Genomic DNA, 19448 nt, shown 5'->3' on the forward strand with positions numbered 1-19448 from the left:
ATGATCTCCTCCATCTCAATGTGTCCAAAAAGTATATGACCTTCTCCTAAAACCTGCCACCCAGCTCTTCCAGCCATTCCCCATTGGCCCATATTAGAAACCTGGCAGGGACGCCCGACTGCTCACTGCTGAGTGGATCCCAAATCCTACTGACTCTCTGAATGCTCCCTCACATTCGGCCCTGACTACTGCTGGCTTTGCTGGGTCCTCATTATTTACCAGCTGGTCTCCCTATCCAAGCCCCACCCCTTCACATTCATGCCAGGTGCTCCTGGAAACTCGGTCATCACATAACCCCTGGTTGTCTTGACAATGAAGTTCAACTTGGCTCCTGGGACCCACAGGATCCACTATAGCTGCCCCCACCCCGCAGCCCCTGCCACCTCTCTGGCTTCACTTTCAGACCAAATAACTTGTAGCATCCCTCAATGCCTCCACACCTCTCTGTGCTGTCTGTTGCCTGGAATGCCCATCCCTCACTTTCCTATCACATCTTCTCCAACTGGAGAAATCACACTTGTTTTTCCAAATTCCTTACCTCCCTTCTATACTCCCACATCTCTCTTCCTGCTGTATTTTACTAACCCATGTGTAGATACTTATCTATATTTGTATATGTAGCCTGAATCTATATTAAACTGCATGTGAGTTCATACCAAGGTCTCCAAGTCTACTTGGAGTAGAGAGTGATCTACTACCACATGGATCATTCGCGCTCTCTCCCTGCTTATCTGTAACCTCCCACTGCAACTGTGAAATGGCCCCCACCATCTGCCATCCATTTACTAGATTGCTCAATCCTAGTATACATGCAGAGTGGCCTCTCACTGTATCTTATTTGTGAGTTTATTTGTCCTCAAGATTAATGCTTATTCCCAAGCACTGAAAAGTACCTAAGAAAACTAAATACATGTCACTGATCCAAACACCAAAAACATATAAAGTCATTTAATTCTCACAATGGACATGTGAGACATTTACTATTAGTGCCATTTAACAGAAGAGAAGACTGAGATACAAAAAAGCCAAGTAACTTTCCAAGTTGCACAACTAATGTGGCAGGACCAAGGTTTGAACCCAGGGAGCAGACATCCAGAACCATGAACTTCATAGCCTCCCCTGTGTTAGAGGTGCTGCAGTTTCTTGACTTCTGATATTCTGACCTGGCCTCTCCTCAGCTCTGAGAGCCTTCATCTTTGGTTGTTTCTGTGCCCCTTCCAGGCTGCAGATCCTTGCTGCAGAAGGCCAAGGATGGTTCAACCACAGTGTTCTGTTTACTTCCTCTGGGCCCGCTTGTGAGTGGTTTAGCTTGTTGCTGGTGGAATCTCCATTACATACCCACAAAAAGTGCTCCCAAGTCCCACTGCTCTCTCTCCCGGCCACCAGCCTCTGCCACCCATCTATGAGAAGACATCACTTCTTGCTACAGGCCATTCAGCACTTTCAAGGTTTTATCCATATTTTTGCACATACACTCACACTCACACCCTTTATTCATATCTCTAAGAAAAACCTCCAGCTCTCTATATTTTTGGGGAGAGACCTGTGTTAGACCATTTTCATGCTGCTGATAAAGATGTATCAGAGACTGGGTAAATTGCAAAGAAAAAGAGATTTAATGGACTCGCCATTCCACATGGCTGGGGAGGCCTCACAATCATGCCAGAAAGCAAAAGGCACGTCTTACCTGGTGGCAGGCAAGAGAGAATGAGAACCAAGCAAAAGGTTTTACCCCTTACAGAACCATCAGATCTCATGAGGCTGATTCACTACCATGAGAACAGTATGGGGGAAATTGCCCCCATGATTCAATTATCTCCCACAGGGTCCCTCCCAGAACACATGGGAATTATGGGAGCTACAATTCAAGATGAGATTTGGGTGGGGACACAGCCAAACCATATCAAGACCCTGTTCCTTTTCCCTTCCTCCCCCACCACAGTCTCAAGATTTTAAGACTCCTCAAGATTTCATTACATATGTGAGGACATTTGGAAGCTTCCTCAATCTTACATGTATTTATTTATTTGAGACAAGGTCTCATTCTGTCATGCAGGCTGGTGTGCAGTGATGCAATCATGACTCAGGGCAGCCTTGACCTCCCAGGCTCAAGCGATCCTCCCATTTCAGCCTCCCAAATAGCTGGGACCCCAAAGGCGTGTCACCATGCCCAATTAAAAAAATTTTTTTTGAGATGGGATCTCACTGTGTTGCCCAGGCTGGAGTATAGGGTGCAATTTCAGCTCACTGCAACCTCTACTTCCCAGGCTTAAGCAATCCTCCCACCTCAGCCTCCAGAGGCCCTCTTCGAGATGCTGGGGATTCAGGCATAAACAAAACTGACCAAGCCCCTGCCCTCAAGGAACTGACACTCGTGCAGTCAAACTGCCTGAAGTGGCCGGGCGCAGTGGCTCACACCTGTAATCCCAGCACTTTGAGGGGCCTAGGTGGGCGGATCATGAGGTCAGGAGATTGAGACTATCCTGGCCAACACAGTGAAACCCAGTCTCTACTAAAAATACAAAAAAGTTAGCCGGGCGTGGTGGCAGGCGCCTGTAGTCCCAGCTACTCAGGAGGCTGAGGCAGGAGAATGGTGTGAACCCGGGAGGTGGAGTTTGCAGTGAGCTGAGATCGCACCACTGCACTCCAGCCTGGGTGACAGAGCGAGACTCCGTCTTAAAAAAAAAAAAAAAAGCAAAAATAAAAACAAAAAAAACACTGCCTGAATGAGCAGGGAACTTCCTCCTGCCTTCTACTTGCTCAAAGAACAGCAGCACGTCTTGTTGAAAAGTGATCAGGTTCATTTTATTGACTACACAGAAGCAATTCCATTTTCCACTAACAAAATAATTTAGGATGAAGAATTCTGACTCAGTGTCTCCACAGGAACCTGTTCCTCAGCTTTCTGGATGTCATTGTTTCTGACATCACACCTTCCTAGACAGGTATTTCTGGAAAAGGATCTGGTAAGAGGATGAATTTGGCTCTAAACAAATGCCCATGGCCCCGGAAGACCTGTCGGGGCCACCAAGTTAGTTTCTCTGGCAAAATTTGATTCCTTCCATCTCACCACTATAGTAACTGTTGTTGTTATGTTACCAGGAGCCACACAAAGGTTGACCCATCAAGGTGGAGCCACGTTACCAGGAGCCACACGAAGGCTGAACCAGCAAAGTGGAGGACCAGCTGTTTAATTGACTCGGGTCTGGTGACAGGCCAACATGGAGAGAGACAGCCCAGCTTCAAGAACAGCAAGGCAGCCCTTTGCACAGTTCCCACTGGGGTGGGGAGGCTGGAGATGAGGACTGCATTCCACATCAGAGTTGTTTTATTTCTGGATATTCACAGACAGCTAGAAGTCAGAAAAATAAGCCAAAGTGGGAAGCCCCTGGCAGACCAGCTCCACTGGCTTCCTCTCCAGAGTCACTGTTCCGAAGTGACAGGTGGAAGCTCTTTCAGTTCCTCCTTTTCCGGGTACACTTCAGACACCTTATTCATCTTGGTGAAAATCTGGTTGATCTCTATGAACGTCTTGGCCTTGGTCTCCGGGACAATCAAGAAGATGTAGATGGTGGTGAGGAGGCAGATCACGGCGAAGACAATGAAGCTGTACGGGCCGAGGCCCTCCTGCGGGAAGAGGGGCAGGTGACACGTGTGGGACGTGGTTTGCCCAGGGGCTCGCACTGTACTGCATGGGGATCTGGTGGTGAGCGTGGGCCCCGGGCCCCACTCACCTGGATGAACGGGAAGATCAAGCCCACGGTGAAGTTGGAGAGCCAGTGCACACTGCCCCCCACCATGAAGGCAGATGGCCGAGAGGACTGCAGGAAGATCTCAGTGATGAGCAGCGCGGGTATGGGACCTGTAGGGGGAGGAGAGCAGCCTCCCTGAAGGCAGAGCGGGCCCGAGCATCCCAGGCCTGGCCATGCAGACCCACCAGGTAGCTGGCCCCAGGACAGAGGCGTCTCCAGGACTCTTGGGCATGTGGGGCAGCACGTAGGGGGCAAACGGCAGTGTACAGGGATGGCAGGCCAGCAACCACCCGTTAGGCCCACTCTGCTGCCTGCACAGTCTGTGTGTTCCCACCCACACCACCATTTTACCATTTCGCTCTCATTATGTGCCACCCACCCCCTTGCGGTGGACGGGGGAAGAGATGCCATTTCCAGGCTGCATTGGCCATCCCTGGTATCTCTAAGGAGCTCCAGCCCGGAGCTTCTGGGACCAGGGGGGGTTGTGACACCCTGAGGCCAGCTTTGGGTACGTACTGGGCCCGAGGGCATGTCCTATGACGTAGGAGATGACACAGACGATGCTGATGTATGGCATCCAGGACACTGTGTCCTGTGGAGAGAAAGCAGTTGGTTCACCTGGAGCAGACAAGCTAGGACGGGACCCCAGGGGGCGGCCAACCTGCCCTGGTGGGTGGAGGATGGCACCTGGCTCCTCCCCCAGCAGTGCCACCTCGATGAGCCACTGGGAAATCAGCTGAACGTGGGCTATGAGCTGGCAGGACACACGGTCCCCAGATGTCTGGCCAGTTGTATTTGCTAAAACAGCTCATTGTGACCCCTTTTATTTTAAGGCAGGTGGAGGCGCAGGATGGGAGGGGCACTGGTCTTCCTGGTGCAGCTCCGGGCTCCTGGGACCCTGGCCTGTCCTCACCTGCAGTGCCAGAGCTGCAGTGAGCACGCAGCAGGCTATGAGGCAGATGGAGAAGCCCAGCAGCAGCAGCAGCCTCCGACCCAGGAGCTCCACCACGAACACCTACAGGAGGGTGGCAGGGCTCAGGCGGGAGAGGCCCAGCTTCACCTCCCTCCAGCCCCCTCCAATGGGGCAGCTGTGAGGAGAGCTGGGCGGACCGGGTGCCCACCCATGTGCACGCACACTCACATTCACATGTGCAAGACATGCCCTTGGGCAGCCAGCGGGAAGTCGGCTGTGGCTGTGATGCGGGACCCCAGCTGCCCACCCTTGAGACTCAGCTCTAGGGCCTCCTAATCCCACAACCCTGAGCCTCAGGATTCCTGCCCTCGGGAGGCCAGATGTCTGCATGCACCGGAGACGCTGCCCCCACGGAGCCTGCTCCCATCCCGAGGTGGCCGAGCCTCACTCCGGGTAGCCCGGGCTCGGAGCCACCCAGCAGTGGGCGCTGCCTGGTCCAGGCACGCCTACATCCCGGTCAGGTGGTGGCCCCGGGCCCGGTGCGGCTCGGCAGCCCCAAGTGTGAGGGGCTGGTGCGGGGCCACCTCCCACACAGAGTTTCTGTAGTAGCGGCTGGTCCTCCACGTTTTGGGGCCACGGGCTGCCCTTTTGGCGGCGCCGAGGCTGGGGCGTGGGGCCCGAGGGGCCTTGGGTGGAGGCTGTGGGCAGCTCCCAGGACACTCACGGCGCAGAAGGTCATGACCACGTTCACGGCCCCGGTGCCGGCCGTCACGTACTGCACGTGCTCCTCCGGCACGCCGGCGCTCAGGTAGATCTGGTCCGCGTAGTAGTAGATCTGCAAGGCAAGCGCGGGGCTGGGCGGCTGCCCGGAGGAGGCGGCCTCGGCGCCAGGACCCACGCCCGGCGCCCCAGGACCTGCGCCCCGCGCCCCCCGAGCCCTCCCCAGCTCCCGAGCCGCAGCCCGGCCCATACAGCGTTGACGCCCGACAGCTGCTGGCCGCCCATGAGGACGATGATGGACAGCAGCTGCCAGCGCAGCGAGCGCATCCGGAACAGCTTCAGCACGGAGATGAAGCCCGCGGCCTTCTCTGCCTCATCCTCCTGCCGGATCTCGGCCACCTCCCTGTCCACAGAGTCCCAGCCGCGCAGCGTCTGTAGGGCTGGGGAGAAGCGGCACCGTCGGACCAGGGCTGGGGAGCAGAACCTGGAGGCCGCCCCCGCCAGAGCCCTCGTTACCTTTCTTGGCGGCCGCTTCGTCTTTCTTCTGAATCAGCAGGTACCTGGGGCTCTCGGGGAAGAAGGGCAGCAGAAGGAGCTGCAGCGCCGCGGGGACCCCGGTCAGCCCCAGCAGGATCGGCCAGCCTGGGAGGAAGGCAGCGAGCTGGCACCAGCGGCCTCCCCACCACCCCGAAGGCGCCCTCTGCAGAGCCGGCCCCAGCCCCGTCATCCTGAGTGGGGTGCAGGCTCCAGGAGGGCACAGCTTTCCCAGCCCTAAGAACAGCAACTCCCGACGGTGGACACTCGGGAAACACCTGCAGCAGGGATCAGCAGCGACGCACCCCTGCGCCCATCAGACAGACCACACCGACGAGGCCGGTAATACCATGTGCTGGTGAGAACGTCCCCGTGTCCTTCAGAGGACAGTCTTGCAGGGGCTGGAGGAGCTGGGCATACCCGGCCTGACCCAACTGCCCACTCCCAGCTCTATGCCCAGAGAAGCCAGGCCACCAGGATGCCTGAACTGGAATGGTCACGGCAGCTCTGATTACAGAAAGGACACCAGAAACAGTGGGAATATCGTTAACATTCCACATAGAGGGGACACATGGGCTGGCTGCATTGGTACTGCAAAGGCAAAACTAGAGGCAAAGCAAAAAAATGAAGCACAGAGCTTCACAAATGCCTAGAGGGCCGTGTGTGGTTCTGAGTCCTGCTATGGAGCTCCCTGAGACAGGAACCTGGCTTATTCACTTCTGGTCCCAGCTCCTAATGAGAACGCGGCGCCTTGGCGTAAGTGTCCCCAACACATGCAGGAGTGAAGGAGAGGCAGGAGCATGTGGTACTTAAACAGGGACCTAGGTCTGTGCCGCTGGGTCTGCATCCTCATGAGACCTTGGACCAGTCTTCCAATCTCTCTGTACCTGTGATGCACCTGCAAAATGGGTATGATACTGGTACAGGCTTAATAGGGCTGTTCTGAGGAATACATGAGTTACTAAAAAAGACTTGGCACTTGGCTCACGGTAAGCACTTTCTACAGAGAGTGTCTAAGCAGCACAGAGCTTGATGATCCACTTGACTGACTTGCAGACGGTGTGTAGAACCCTGGCGGGAACTGGCTTATGTTTTGGCTGACGGGATGACTGATGATAGTTTAAAGGGAAAGTCGTGCAAAAACAACCCCGGTTACAGGTGTCTGTGCACCTGCCGCATGCCAGGCCCCAGGCTGTCTTGGGGAAGGTGGAGGCAGGGTCTGGGATGTCCTCACCACCTCCCCCATGGGGCCAGGCCACCCTCACTCCTGGTACTTCTCTTTCTGGTCTGCAAAATGGGATAATCACTGAGTCCCAGGCAGCAGCGTTGCTGGGAGGGTCCTATGAACTGATGCTGGGTCCGCCCCAAGCACAGAGCCTGGCACACTGGTGGCTGTCATTGCTATGCCACGGGCCTCCATATGGACAGCTGCTGAGCAGGCAGGGAAGCCCATCACTCAAAGCCACCTCATCCATCTCCTAAGAGGGACTAGATAGTAAACGCTGGCCAGTCCCTTATCGCGCCTTTGTCCATGGCCTGCTATGTTGGCTCGGGACAGGATGGGCCCCCCAAGGACATCCAGCCTGTTAGAAGAGACCAGTCTGCAGAAAGTCCTGTCCTGTGGTGGTGGCTTTGGAACACAAGGAGGGGGCCAAGGGTAGTGGTGAAGGGGTGGGGGTGCTCCCGAGATGTCCTGAACTCACCATCTACGTTTGCAAGGAGATTCCGAAGACCAAAGATCTGGGCCACAAGGATGCCAACAGTGATGAAGAGCTGGGGCACCACCCCGAGAGCCCCCCGCAGGTTTTTAGGGGCCAGCTCCCCTAAGTACATGGGGACCACGTTGGAAGATACACCTGGGAGGAGGTGAAATAGAAACACCATCAGAAAAAATTAGTCTGGCAGGGACAAGCTGTCTTCAAGTATACTATTCTTAGCAATAACATTATTTGGGCCAGAACTCTCTCAAAACTGCAAAGGAGAAAGCAAACACCTCTTTTAATTCTTAGCCCTTTATACTTTAAGGAAAGAGAAACAGATCAAAGGAGCTCATGCACAGGGGCCCTTGCTTTGGCCCATATCATCTGGGGACACTGGCCAGCTGGATCTACGGCCTTCCCGCTCCCTGGCCTGAGTCTAGACCCACTCACGTTTCTGCTTTTTGAGGAGGGTCTGTTTCATAAAAGGCAAGGCAGCTGGGTGTGATGGCTCGTGCCTGTAATTTCAGCACTTGGGGAGGCTAAGTGGGGAGGATAGATTACTTGGGGTCAGGAGTTTGAGACCAGCCTGGGCAACATAGTGGAACCGTTTCCACTAAAAATATGTATATGTGTGTGTGTGTGTGCGCGCGCATGATATATATGGCCTGTGTGTATTTACATATGGTGTGTATGTCTGTGTGTGTATGGCCTCTGTGTGTGTGTGTGTATGTGTATATGGACATGGCCTGGTGTGTGTGTGTGTGTGTATATATATATGGCATGTGTGTGTACATATATATATATATGGCCTCTGTGTGTGTGTGTGTGTGTATGTGTATATATATGTGTGTGTGTGGGTGTGTGTGTGGCCTGGGTGTGTGTGTGTGTGTGTATAGGGCATGTGTATGTGTATGTATATATATGGCATGTGTGTATGTGTGTGTATGTGTGTATGGCCCAGGACCCCTAGCCCCCAGCTTTACCTTATAGGAACAGTAAATAAACCAATGCAGAGATAGTTTCATACACCTTTAAGAACAAGTTATATGTCTCTATAAGCATTTAAAATGTCAACACATATTACGGAATATCTGCATTTCTGGGATTTCTGTAATGCCTGGACTACTTCTGAATCCCCAGTATTTAAACTTGTAAATATTCCCATCATACTTGAATCTGGTGGAGGGAAAACTTACTCTATTTTATAGAATGACGTGTTGCCTGATGTCAATTAAAAAAACATAGGCAGAATTTAATTTTGCAGCTTCCAAAGTATTTTCACATATATTGCCCTATTTAATTCTCCTAAAAGCACATCCAGAGGCTGGGGATGGAGAGGAAGTTTCACTAGTCCAAGTATCAGGTACCAAATCCTGAGTCAAATGGAGGCTCAGGGACGTGGGTCTCTGAAGGGAGGCTCTCAGGAACAGAGTTTGGAGTGAGCAGAGGTTGGAGCTGCTGTTGATGGCGGGGTATTTGATAGAACTGAGATAGGAGGGTACCTGAGGCCATGTTTTCCTGTTTGGCAATTCTACCCACAGATGTCTCTGCTCAGTATTTGAAAAGAGACATCACAGTTCATTAATATCGATTCTTCCTCATTTGCAGAGCAAAGAGGGGCAGTCTTTAAAGCAGCTCTTAGCATGTCTAGGTGGGAAGAGGGAGCAACACCTCACAGGCCCAGGGCAAAGGGCTGCAGAGGAAAGGAAGGCCTCCTGGGAGCTGAAGTGGGAGGCTGTGTCCTCACCACTTAACAAGAGCCACTTAGCAGCAAGAGCATCTTGGTGAAGGATATTAATAAAGGGTCAAACCTCAGGAGGTTTGTGAAGAGATGGGGTTACCTGTACGTTGGTGGAAAGCAATCTCTATTTTTGTCTTTAAAATGACTCCACTAGGACCTCCCAGCCAGCCAGTTCTGATACGAGAATCAGAGCAAAGTGGCTTTTTTTTTTTTTCGAGATGCGAGTTTCGCTCTTGTCGCCCAGGCTGGAGTGCAGTGGTGCGATCTCAGCTCACTGCAACCTCTGCCTCCCAGGTTCAAGTGATTCTCCTGCCTCAGCCTCCTGAGTAGCTGGGATTACAGGCGCCCGCCACCACGCCTGGCTAATTTTTGTATTTTTAGTAGAGACGGGGTTTCACCATGTTGGCAAGGCTGGTCCTGAACTCCCGACCTCAGGTGATCCACCCGCCTCGGCCTCCCAAAGTGCTGGGATTACAGGCATGAGCCACCGTGCCTGGCCTGGCTTTTGAAGTTTAAATTCCTCCTGCTGGACACTGTAGCTCACCCCTGTAATCCCAGCATTTTGGGAGGCTGAGGCAGGTGGATCACTTGAGGCCAGGAGTTCGAGACCAGCCTAGCCAACATGGTGAAACCCCATCTCTATGAAAAATACAAAAAAATTAGCTGGGCACGGTGGCACATGCCTACAGTGCTAGCTACTCAGGAGGCTGAGGCACAAGAATTGCTTGAACTTAGCAGGTGGAGCTTGCAGTGAGCCGAGACCGTGCCACTGCACTCCAGCCTGGGCAACTAAGCAAGAGTCCATCTCAAACAAACAAACAAACAAACAAAAAGTTTAAATTCCTCTGAGCCAATGAATACCTTCAGTCTTCCTGCCAAGAAGTTGATTAGTAACAAATCAGTGAACTGTGAGCATGTTCCAGTAAAAGTCATACTCATCTTGGCACCCCCCTTGTCAAGGTAGTTGTTTACTTCATTTTAGAGTGAGCAATGTGGTTCTTGTTCATATGGGTGGTTTTATTTTTGTGTTGGTTTGTTTGTTTTGTTTTTGAGACAGAGTTTCACTCTGTTGCCCAGGCTGGAGTACAGTGGCACGATCTCGGCTCACTGCAACCTCCCCATCCTGGGTTCAAGCGATTCTCATGCCTCAGCCTCCCTAGTAGCTGGGATTACAGACCTACTCCACCATGCCCAGCTAATTTTTGTATTTTTAGTAGAGACCGAGTTTCACCATGTTGGCCAGGCTGGTCTCGCACTCCTGACCTCAAGTGATCCAACTGCCTCAGCTTCCTAAAGTGCTGGTATTACAGGCATGAGCCACTGCACCCGGCCATATGCGTGGTTTTAAAATGAGTGTCTAAGCAGCACACAGCTTGATGATCCACTTTGCTGACTTGCTGGAGGTATGTGAAAAACTGTTGGCAAATGGATTATGCCCCTAATGGCCAGTGTTCTCAAGCCGTGATCTGAGGACCCAGGGATCCCGAGACCTTTTAAGGGTGTCTGTGAGATCAAAACTATTTTCATAATAATCCAGAGATGATATCTGCTCTTCATTCTCTCTCTCTCATGAGCATATGGGAGTTTTCCAGAGACTTCTTGCCAGGCCACATCACAACTGACCTGACCCAGAAGTACATCTGAGAATTCAGCTGTCTTCTATTAAGCCAGACATTAAAGAGATTTGCAAAAATGTCAAACAAGGCCACTCTTCATGTAATAGGCTTATTTTAAAAAATGAATTAATATGTCTCTCGGTTGCCATTTCTAATACAGTAAATATTGATCAATGTAACCCACATGAGCAAAAGCTCTTTGGAGCCCTCAATAATTTTAAGTGTGTAAAGGGGTCTGAGACCAAAAACTGAGAACTGCTGACTTTAGAGTAAAGGCTGGGATTTTTAACTGATTTGTTATCTATTGGAGCCTAATATTTCTCTGCTGGAAACAATTCTGTATTGTTAATGGTCAATAGAAAAGTGATTGGACCTGCTTACTGGTGGCAACTTTTAGGAATGTATTTTTCAAAATGTTGAGCCCACTGCAGAGAAAACCCACAGGTCAGGGCAAGATGGCAGAGACCGGCCGGGCATGGTGGCTCACGCCTGTAATCCCAGCATTTCGGGAGGCTGAGGTCAGGAGTTTGAGACTAGCTTGGCCAACATAGTGAAACCCCATCTCTACCAAAAATACAAAAATTAGCTGGGTGTGGTGGCGGGCAGCTGTAATCCCAGCTACTCAGGAGGCTGAGGTAGGAGAATCAGTTGAACCCGGGAGGCAGAGGTTGCAGTGAGCCAAGATCATGCCACAGCACTCCAGCCTGGGTGACAAGAGGGAAACTCCATCTCAAAAAAAAAAAAAAAAAAAAAGATGGCAGAGACCCAGCCAGGTGCTCTCAGGGAAAGCCGAGCACTAAGTGAAGTTTGCCATGGGGCTCACCATCCTCCCTTTGGCATGACTTAGTCTCTGTTTGGGAAATGTCTTCTCATCTTTTTTTCACGTCTCTGTTACTGCCAATTAATCCTAGCTGAGGGGTTTATGGACAGCCAGCCAAATTATCCATTTGTCCCTATCCCTGCGTTTGGAAGGAACAAATGAGAGTTCCTTGGCAATGTTGGGAAAGTGACTGGAGGGAGGCAGTGAGGCACCTGGGAGGGGCTCCCTCAAGGGGCCCACTCTGCACCTGTAGGACCCTGAGAGCTTCCATCCTAGATGCCTCTCCCCACCTGGCAGTGAGAAATACTGCCTACTAAGGATGCCAACTCAGGGAAAGCCACTGGCACGGCTCTACCCCTCATCTCTCCTCAGTGTGAAGCAATTATGGGAGAGTTTTCTAAAATCACCACTGTACAGCCTGGCAGCCTAGGCTTGGAAGCAACAGAGTGGGATTAGGAAAAAACACCTCCCAGTTTGTTAGATGAGAGGACTCAGCGAGTCAGCACCCGCTCAGCAGGTGGGCATTTCAGGAATAGAACTCAGTACGCCCTTGGCAAACTTTAAATTGCCCTATAAAACTTAAAATGTGGCACTGTTAGCACCTTTCTGGTAGTGGAATTCATACATTAGATTGTTTCTCAAGCTTTTTTGACTCTCACCCACAGTAAAAAATACAGAAATACATTTTCCACTGCAACCTGGTTCTCGTGTGTGTGTGTGTGTGTGTGTGTGTGTGTGTGTGTATGTGAAACAAAAGTGGGCAATACTTATCTTTACTACACGTAACACTGCCTCTTCCATTTTATTTATTGATTTATATATATATTTATTTATCTTTGAGATGGGGATATGGTTTGGCTCTGTGTCCTCACCCAAATCTCATCTCAAATTGTAATCCCCATGTGTCAAGGGAGGACCTGATGGGAGGTGATTGGATTATAAGGGCGAGTTCTCCCATGTTTTTCTTGTGATACCAAGTTCTCATGAGATCGGATGGTTTTATAAGGCAGTTTCCCTTCTCTCTCTCTCTCTCTCTCTCGCCTGCTGCCATGTAAGACAGGTCTGCTTCCCCTTCCATCATGATTGTAAGTTTCCTGAGGCCTCTCCAGCCATGGGGAACTGTAAGTCAATTAGACTTCTTTTCTTTATAAATTACCCAGTCTTGGGGAGTATTCTTTACAGCAGTGTGAAAACAGACTAATACACAGGGTTTCACTGTGTTGCCCAGGCTGGTTTCAAGTGATCCTCCCGCCTCGGCTTCCAGAGTAGCTGGATTGCAGGTGTGAGCCACTGCACTCAGCTATTCTATTTTTAAAAAGAAAATGCTGCTCACTAAACAGACATCACCACCCACTAACTGGTCATGACCTGCAGTTGAGAAAATATTGAGATAAAGGATTGGATTGGAATGACACTTCCCAGGTTAAGATTCTGCATTTCAGTCTTTCAAAGATGTTTCTTTGTAGGAAACATCACAGTAAAGCTCTGCACCTGAGAACCAGGTAGGGCTCAACCATCTGTTTCACAGCAGAGGTATAGGAACGCTTTCTACACGCTTCAGACATCACAGATTGGTTCTAGTCCCTGGGAACCTGTTGTCCTCCTCCTTGACGACCCTCACAGAATGGCAATACAGCATAGCATTGTTTACCTGCACATATTCCCACCAAAAGTCTGGAAATAATGATAAGCTCAAATGATGTGGCGACTCTGCTGCATCCCATTAAGATCGCAGGCACGATAGAAAATATGTTGTTGAACAGCAAGGCCCCTTTTCTGCAGAGGACAAAATATCAGTTAGTTTTGCTGAAGAATTCACTCTTTCATTCAAGAAATGTTTCTGGAGTGTCTCCTCTGCATAGGCTCCAGCAGTTACAGCAGCTTTACTGCTGTGCGTTTAGCTCTCTGGGACCTGAGACTGATACAGGTCAAGTGCATGGCCTGGTGTGGGAATACGCTCAGTGTGGGGAGCAAATGGAAATGACCACAGTCCAGAGGGCGTCAGTGGTGAAAATGGAGAAAGGGCTCTGTATTAAGATATAGTAAAGGGTTTTTGAAATCATTAGCTAATTTATAATTTTGGTGTAATCTTGAAAGCCAACCCCAAAATTGTCCTGGGTAAGGACATTAGAGGAAAAGAAAAGTATAGGTCCATCTCACTTATGTCAACGTGGATGCCACAATCCTAAATGAAATCTTAGTAGATTAAATTCAACAGCATATACAAAAATATTTCAATGTATTTCACCATATTAAAGATTATATTGGGGCCAGGCATGGTGGCTCACGCCTGTAATCCCAGCACTTTGGGAGGCCGAGGTGGGCAGATCACTTGAGGTCAAGTGCTCAAGATCAGCCTGGCCAACATGGTAAAACACTGTCTTTACTAAAAATACAAAAACTAGCAGGGCCCACTGGTGGCAGGTGCCTGTAATCCCAGCTACTCAGGAGGCTGAGGCACGAGAATTGCTTGAACCCAGGAAGTGGAGGTTGCCGTGAGCTGAGATCGTGCCACTGCACTCCAGCCTGGGTGACAGAGCGAGACTCCACCTCAAAAAATAAATAAATAAATAAGTAAACAAACATTATATTGGGGGAAAACATCGGATTATCTCAATAGAAGCAGCAAAAGAAGTCAATAAAATTTAACACCATTATGATTTTTAAATTTTTGTTTATTTAAAAGTTGGCCTAAGTTTCTTTCCTCCTTTCTTTTTTTTGAGACAGAGTCTCGCTCTGTCACCCAGGCTGGAGTGCAGTGATCGCAGCTCACTGTAACCTCGGTCTGCCAGGTCAAAGTGATTCTTGTACCTCAGCCTTCCAAGTAGCTAGGATTACAGGCACGTGCCCCCACACCCAGCTAAGTGTTTGTATTTGTAATAGAGATGGAGTTTCCCCATGTTGGCCAGGCTGGTCTCGAACTCCTGGCCTCAAGTGATCTGCCCACCTCAGTCTCCCAAACTGCTGAGATTATAGGCATGAGCCACTGCGCCCAGCCATTTTTTTTAAAACCAGCCTTAACAAACTATAAATAGAAGAACTTCTTTAAGCTGATAAAGGAAATCTACCTAAAACCTATATCAAACATCACACTTAATAAAACTTGGAAAGCCTTCCCATTGAAGTCAGGAACAAGCCTACCCTGGAGATCCTGACAGAAGCAAAGCAAACTTCTCTGGAGGGGCCTCTCGCAATGGAGCCCTCATGATGAGGACCCTCATGATGGACGAAGCTGTCAGCGAGTGGAGCTCCAGCATTCCTAAACACTGAGAAACTTGCCACACGTGAGAGCCGCTTATACTAACAGCACACCTTCAGACAACAGAATCAGACTGGACTATAAAATGTTTAAAATGATTAGTGTCATAAAATAAGGAATCCAAATAGTACTGTATTGGAGAACCAACATCACCTGACTTCAAGGCTTACCATAAAGCTACAGTAATCAAGACAGCGTGGTACTAGTAAATGAATAGACAAACAGGCCGGGCATGGTGGCTCACGCCTGTAATCCCAGCACTTTGAGAGGCCAAGGCGGGCGGCATCACATGAAGTCAGGAGCTCAAGGCCAGCCTGGTCAGCATGGTGAAACCTCGTCGTCTCTACTACAGCCACGCACCTCTAATCCCAGCTACTCGGGAGGCTGAGGCATGAGAATCGCTTGAACCTGGAAGGCGGAGGTTGCAGTGAGCCGAGATGGCCCCACTGCACCAGCCTGGGTGACACAGCGAGACTCTGTCTAAAGAAAAAAAAAAAAAAAGAATAGACAAATAGATCAATGGAACAGAACAGAGAGTCCAGAAATAGACCCACGTTAAGTCTATTCAACTGATCCTTGACAAAGGAGCAAAGAGAACGCAATGGAGAAAAGGCAGTCTTTTCAAAAAGATGGTGCTGGGCTGGGTGCCGTGCTCATGCCCGTAATCTCAGCACTTTTGGACACTGAGGTAGGAGGATCACTTGTGTACAGAAGTTCCAGACCAGCCTGGGCAACATAGTGAGACGCCATCTCTAGAAAAAAATAATAGATTGGCCAGGCGCAGTGGCTCACGCCTGTAATCCTAGGACTCTGGGAGGCCAAGGCGGGTGGATCACCTGAGGCCAGGAGTTCGAGACCAGCCTGGCCAACACAACGAAACCCCACCTCTACTAAAAATACAAAAAAAAAATTAGCCGGGTATGGTGGCACACACTTCTAATTCCAGTTACTCAGAAGACTGAGGCTAGAGAATTGCTTGAACTCAGGAGGCAGAGTTTGCAGTGAGCTGAGATTATGCCACTTGCACTCCAGCCTGGGTGACATAGCAAGACTCTGTCTCAAAAAAAAAAAAGAAAAAATTCAAAAATTTGCTGGGCACTATTGGTGGTGCACTCCTGTAGTCCCAGCTACTGGAGAGGCTGAGGCGGGAGTATTGCTTGAGCTAGGAAGTTTGAGGCTGCAGCAAGATGTGATTGTGTCACTGCACTCAGCCTGGGTGACAGAGTGACACCCTGTCTCAAAAACAAAAAACAAAAAAAAGGAAAGAAAATGGTGCTGGAACAACTGGACATCTATATGCAAGAAAATGAATCTAGACACAAACCTTAGAATTTTCCCAAATATTAATTCACAGTGGTCACAGACCTAAATATAAAATGCAAAACTATAAAACTCCTAGAAGATAGCTTAGGAAAAAAAAATCTAGACAGTCTTGGGTTTGGCGATGACTTTTCAGATATAACACCAAAGGCATAATCCATGAAAGAAAGAATTGATCCTTAAAATGAAAGACAGAAGGTTAGAAAATATAAAATCTTTAGCCAATAAAGACAAAAAGGGAAGTTGGGTAATAGTCTTAATACCTGACAAAATATGATTTGAGATAAAAATGTCATAAAACACAGAGGTGTTATATGCATTACATAAAAGTAAAAGAAATAATGGCAAAGAAGATATAACTATCATAAACAGAGACGATTCCAACACAGCCTCAAAATACATACAGCGTCAACTGGACTGATGAAATTCCAGGGAGGAAGAGGTAAACCAACAATTCTGGTCTGAAGTTGCTCACGTGAAAGGGCCTCTCAGAATAGTAGGTCAATTCACAAAGAACAAGCTAAAGATAGGAACCAGTGGCATATCAAGGAGGGAGGTGGACATTTTAAGGTAGTACACCCCTCCTGAGCAATTGTCTGTAATTTTATAACAATAATAAATCACAATAAAGCTTTATTGCAAAAAGAAAGAAAGAAAAAGAGAAGAAGGAAGGAGGGAAAAAAAGAAAAGGAAGGAAGGAAGGAATGAAGGAAAAGAGAGAGAGAGACAAAGAAAGAAAGAAAGAAACAAACAAACAAAGGATAAGCTGGTCTTCATTAAAATTAAAACTTTCTGCTCTGTGAAAGACACTGTTAAGAGGATGAAAAGACAAGCCACAAACTAGGAGAAAATATTTGCAGAAGGCATATCTAAAAGCACTGTTGTCCAAAATGTACAAAGAACTCTTAAAACTTAAAAAGAAAACAAACAACCCAATTTAAAAATGGGCCAAAGATCTTAACAGACACCTCACCAAGATACGCAGATGGGAAATAAGCATATGAAAAGGTGCACCACATGATGTGTTATAGGGGAAATGCAAATTAAACAATAAGGTACCACCTGTCAGAAGAACAAAAACCCAGAACTCTGACAACACCAAATGCTGGAGCAACAGGAACCCTCATTTGTTGCTGGTGGGAATGCAAAATGATATATCTACTTTAAAAGACAGTTTGGCAGTTTCCTATAAAATTAAACATATGCTTATCTGTACTCATATGATCCAGCAATCACATACTCCTTGGTATTTACCCAAAGGAGCTGAAAACGTATATCTACACAGAAACTTACATGTGCATGGATGTTTACGGCAGCTTTATTCATAATTGCCAAAAGCTGGAAGCAACCAAGATGTCCTCTGGTACTGAACCGATAAAGTGTGGTACAACCAGACAATGAAATATTCAAGCCATGAAAAGACATGGAGAAGCCTTCAGTACATATTAGTAAAAGAGGCCAATCTGGGCCAGGCGCGGTGGCTCACGCCTGTAATCCCAGCACCTTGGGAGGCCGAGGTGGGCGGATCACGAGGTCAAGAGATTGAGACCATCCTGGCCAACATGGTGAAACCCCGTCTCTACTAAAAATGCAAAAATTAGCTGGGTGTGGTGGCGTGCACCTGTAGTCCCAGCTACTCAGGAGGCTGAGGCAGGAGAATTGCTTGAACATGGGAGGCAGAGGTTGCAGTGAGCCGAGATTGTGCCTCTGCACTCCAGCCTGGGTGACAGAGCGAGACTCCGTCTCAAAAAAAAAGAAAGAAAGAAAATCCTACATACTATGTGATTCCAACTATATGACATTCTGGGAAAGGCAAACTATGGAGATAGTAGAAGGATCGGTGGTTGCCAGGAGTTAGAGAGGAGGGAGGGGGTGACTAGGCAGAGCATAGAGGATTCTTAGGGCAGTGAAACTACTCTATATGATACTATAATGGTGGATACAAGTCATTACGCATTTGTCAAAACCCATAGAATGCACAACATCAAGAGTAAACCCTAATGTACACTATGAACCTTGGGTGATGATATATGTCAATGCAGGTCTCATCATTTGTAACAAATACAGCGCTCTGGTGAGAGATGTTGATAAAGGGGGAGACTATGCATGTATTGGAGGAGAGGTACATGGGAAGTCTCTATAGCCTCTTCTCAATTATGTGAGCCTAAAACTGCTCTTTAATAAAGTCTATTTTTAATGGCAGGACATGGTGGCTCTTGCCAGTAATCTCAGCACTTTCAGAGGCCAAGGTGGGAGGATGGCTTGAGGCCAGGAGTTCAAGACCAGACTGAGCAACATAGCAAGACCCCATCCCTGTAGTCTCAGCTACTAGAGAGGAGGATCACTTGAGCACAGGAGGTGGAGTCTGCAGTGAGCCACAATCGTGCCACTGCACTCCAGCCTGGGCGACAGAGTAAGACCATATTTCAAAAAAAAATATATATATATATATGTTTTAAAAATATTTTTTAAAATATATTTTTTGAGATAGGGTCTTACTCTATTATATATTAATATATAATATATATTATATATTTATATATTAATATATAATATATATTTATATATAATATATATTATATATTTATATTACATATATTTATATGTTAATATATATTTTATATATTTATATATTTTATATATTTATATATTATATATTTATATATTATATTTATATATTATATATTTATATTATATATTTATATATTATATTTATATATTATATATTTATATTATATATTTATATATTGTATATTTATATTATATATTTATATATTGTATTTATATATTATATATTTATATACTATATATATTTATATATATTATATATTTATATATTATATATATTTATATATATTATATATTTATATATTATATATATTTATATATATTATATATTTATATATTATATATATTTATATATATTATATATATTTATATATATTATATATTTATATATAATATATATTATATATTTTATCTATATATTTATATATTAATATATATTATATATTTATATATATTATATATATTTATATATATATTTTTTAAATAGGCAGGGCACAGTGGCTTA

The 19448-nt window shown here is 47.5% G+C and overlaps 1 protein-coding gene across 16 annotated transcripts in view, besides 3 other annotated features; it reads right to left on the reverse strand.

Moving 5' to 3' along the window:
• SLC2A5 (solute carrier family 2 member 5) overlaps positions 944 to 19448 on the reverse strand; it is a 59090-nt gene continuing 40585 nt past the window's right edge. For 13 of the 16 annotated variants that reach the window (XM_047428615.1, XM_047428614.1, XM_047428606.1 and 10 more), the window contains 9 exons: positions 13448 to 13572; positions 7623 to 7775; positions 5902 to 6027; positions 5638 to 5825; positions 5390 to 5500; positions 4666 to 4767; positions 4269 to 4344; positions 3735 to 3862; positions 944 to 3627 (listed from right to left, as the gene is read on the reverse strand). In XM_047428615.1, coding sequence (XP_047284571.1) covers positions 3424 to 3627; positions 3735 to 3862; positions 4269 to 4344; positions 4666 to 4767; positions 5390 to 5500; positions 5638 to 5825; positions 5902 to 6027; positions 7623 to 7775; positions 13448 to 13572 — 1213 coding nt within the window. In that variant the 3' untranslated portion in view covers positions 944 to 3423. Of the gene's footprint in view, positions 3628 to 3734; positions 3863 to 4268; positions 4345 to 4665; positions 4768 to 5389; positions 5501 to 5637; positions 5826 to 5901; positions 7776 to 13447; positions 13573 to 14937; positions 14960 to 19448 lie in introns of those variants that run through there. The other 3 variants (XM_047428625.1, NM_001328621.2, NM_001135585.2) reach the window with 3 other exon arrangements.
• Positions 3033 to 3102: an enhancer, noted in NCBI's record as "active region_111". NCBI's record gives its function as "activates an Ori minimal core promoter by ATAC-STARR-seq in GM12878 lymphoblastoid cells {active_cell/tissue: GM12878}" and the evidence as "EXISTENCE:reporter gene assay evidence [ECO:0000049][PMID:35858748]".
• Positions 3543 to 3622: an enhancer, noted in NCBI's record as "active region_112". NCBI's record gives its function as "activates an Ori minimal core promoter by ATAC-STARR-seq in GM12878 lymphoblastoid cells {active_cell/tissue: GM12878}" and the evidence as "EXISTENCE:reporter gene assay evidence [ECO:0000049][PMID:35858748]".
• Positions 5834 to 6034: a silencer, noted in NCBI's record as "peak52 fragment used in MPRA reporter construct". NCBI's record gives its function as "represses an SCP1 promoter by STARR-seq MPRAs in K562 erythroleukemia cells {active_cell/tissue: K562}" and the evidence as "EXISTENCE:reporter gene assay evidence [ECO:0000049][PMID:32103011]".

The sequence above is a fragment of the Homo sapiens genome, chromosome 1, assembly GCF_000001405.40.
Source record: "Homo sapiens chromosome 1, GRCh38.p14 Primary Assembly".
Lineage (NCBI taxonomy): Eukaryota > Metazoa > Chordata > Mammalia > Primates > Hominidae > Homo > Homo sapiens.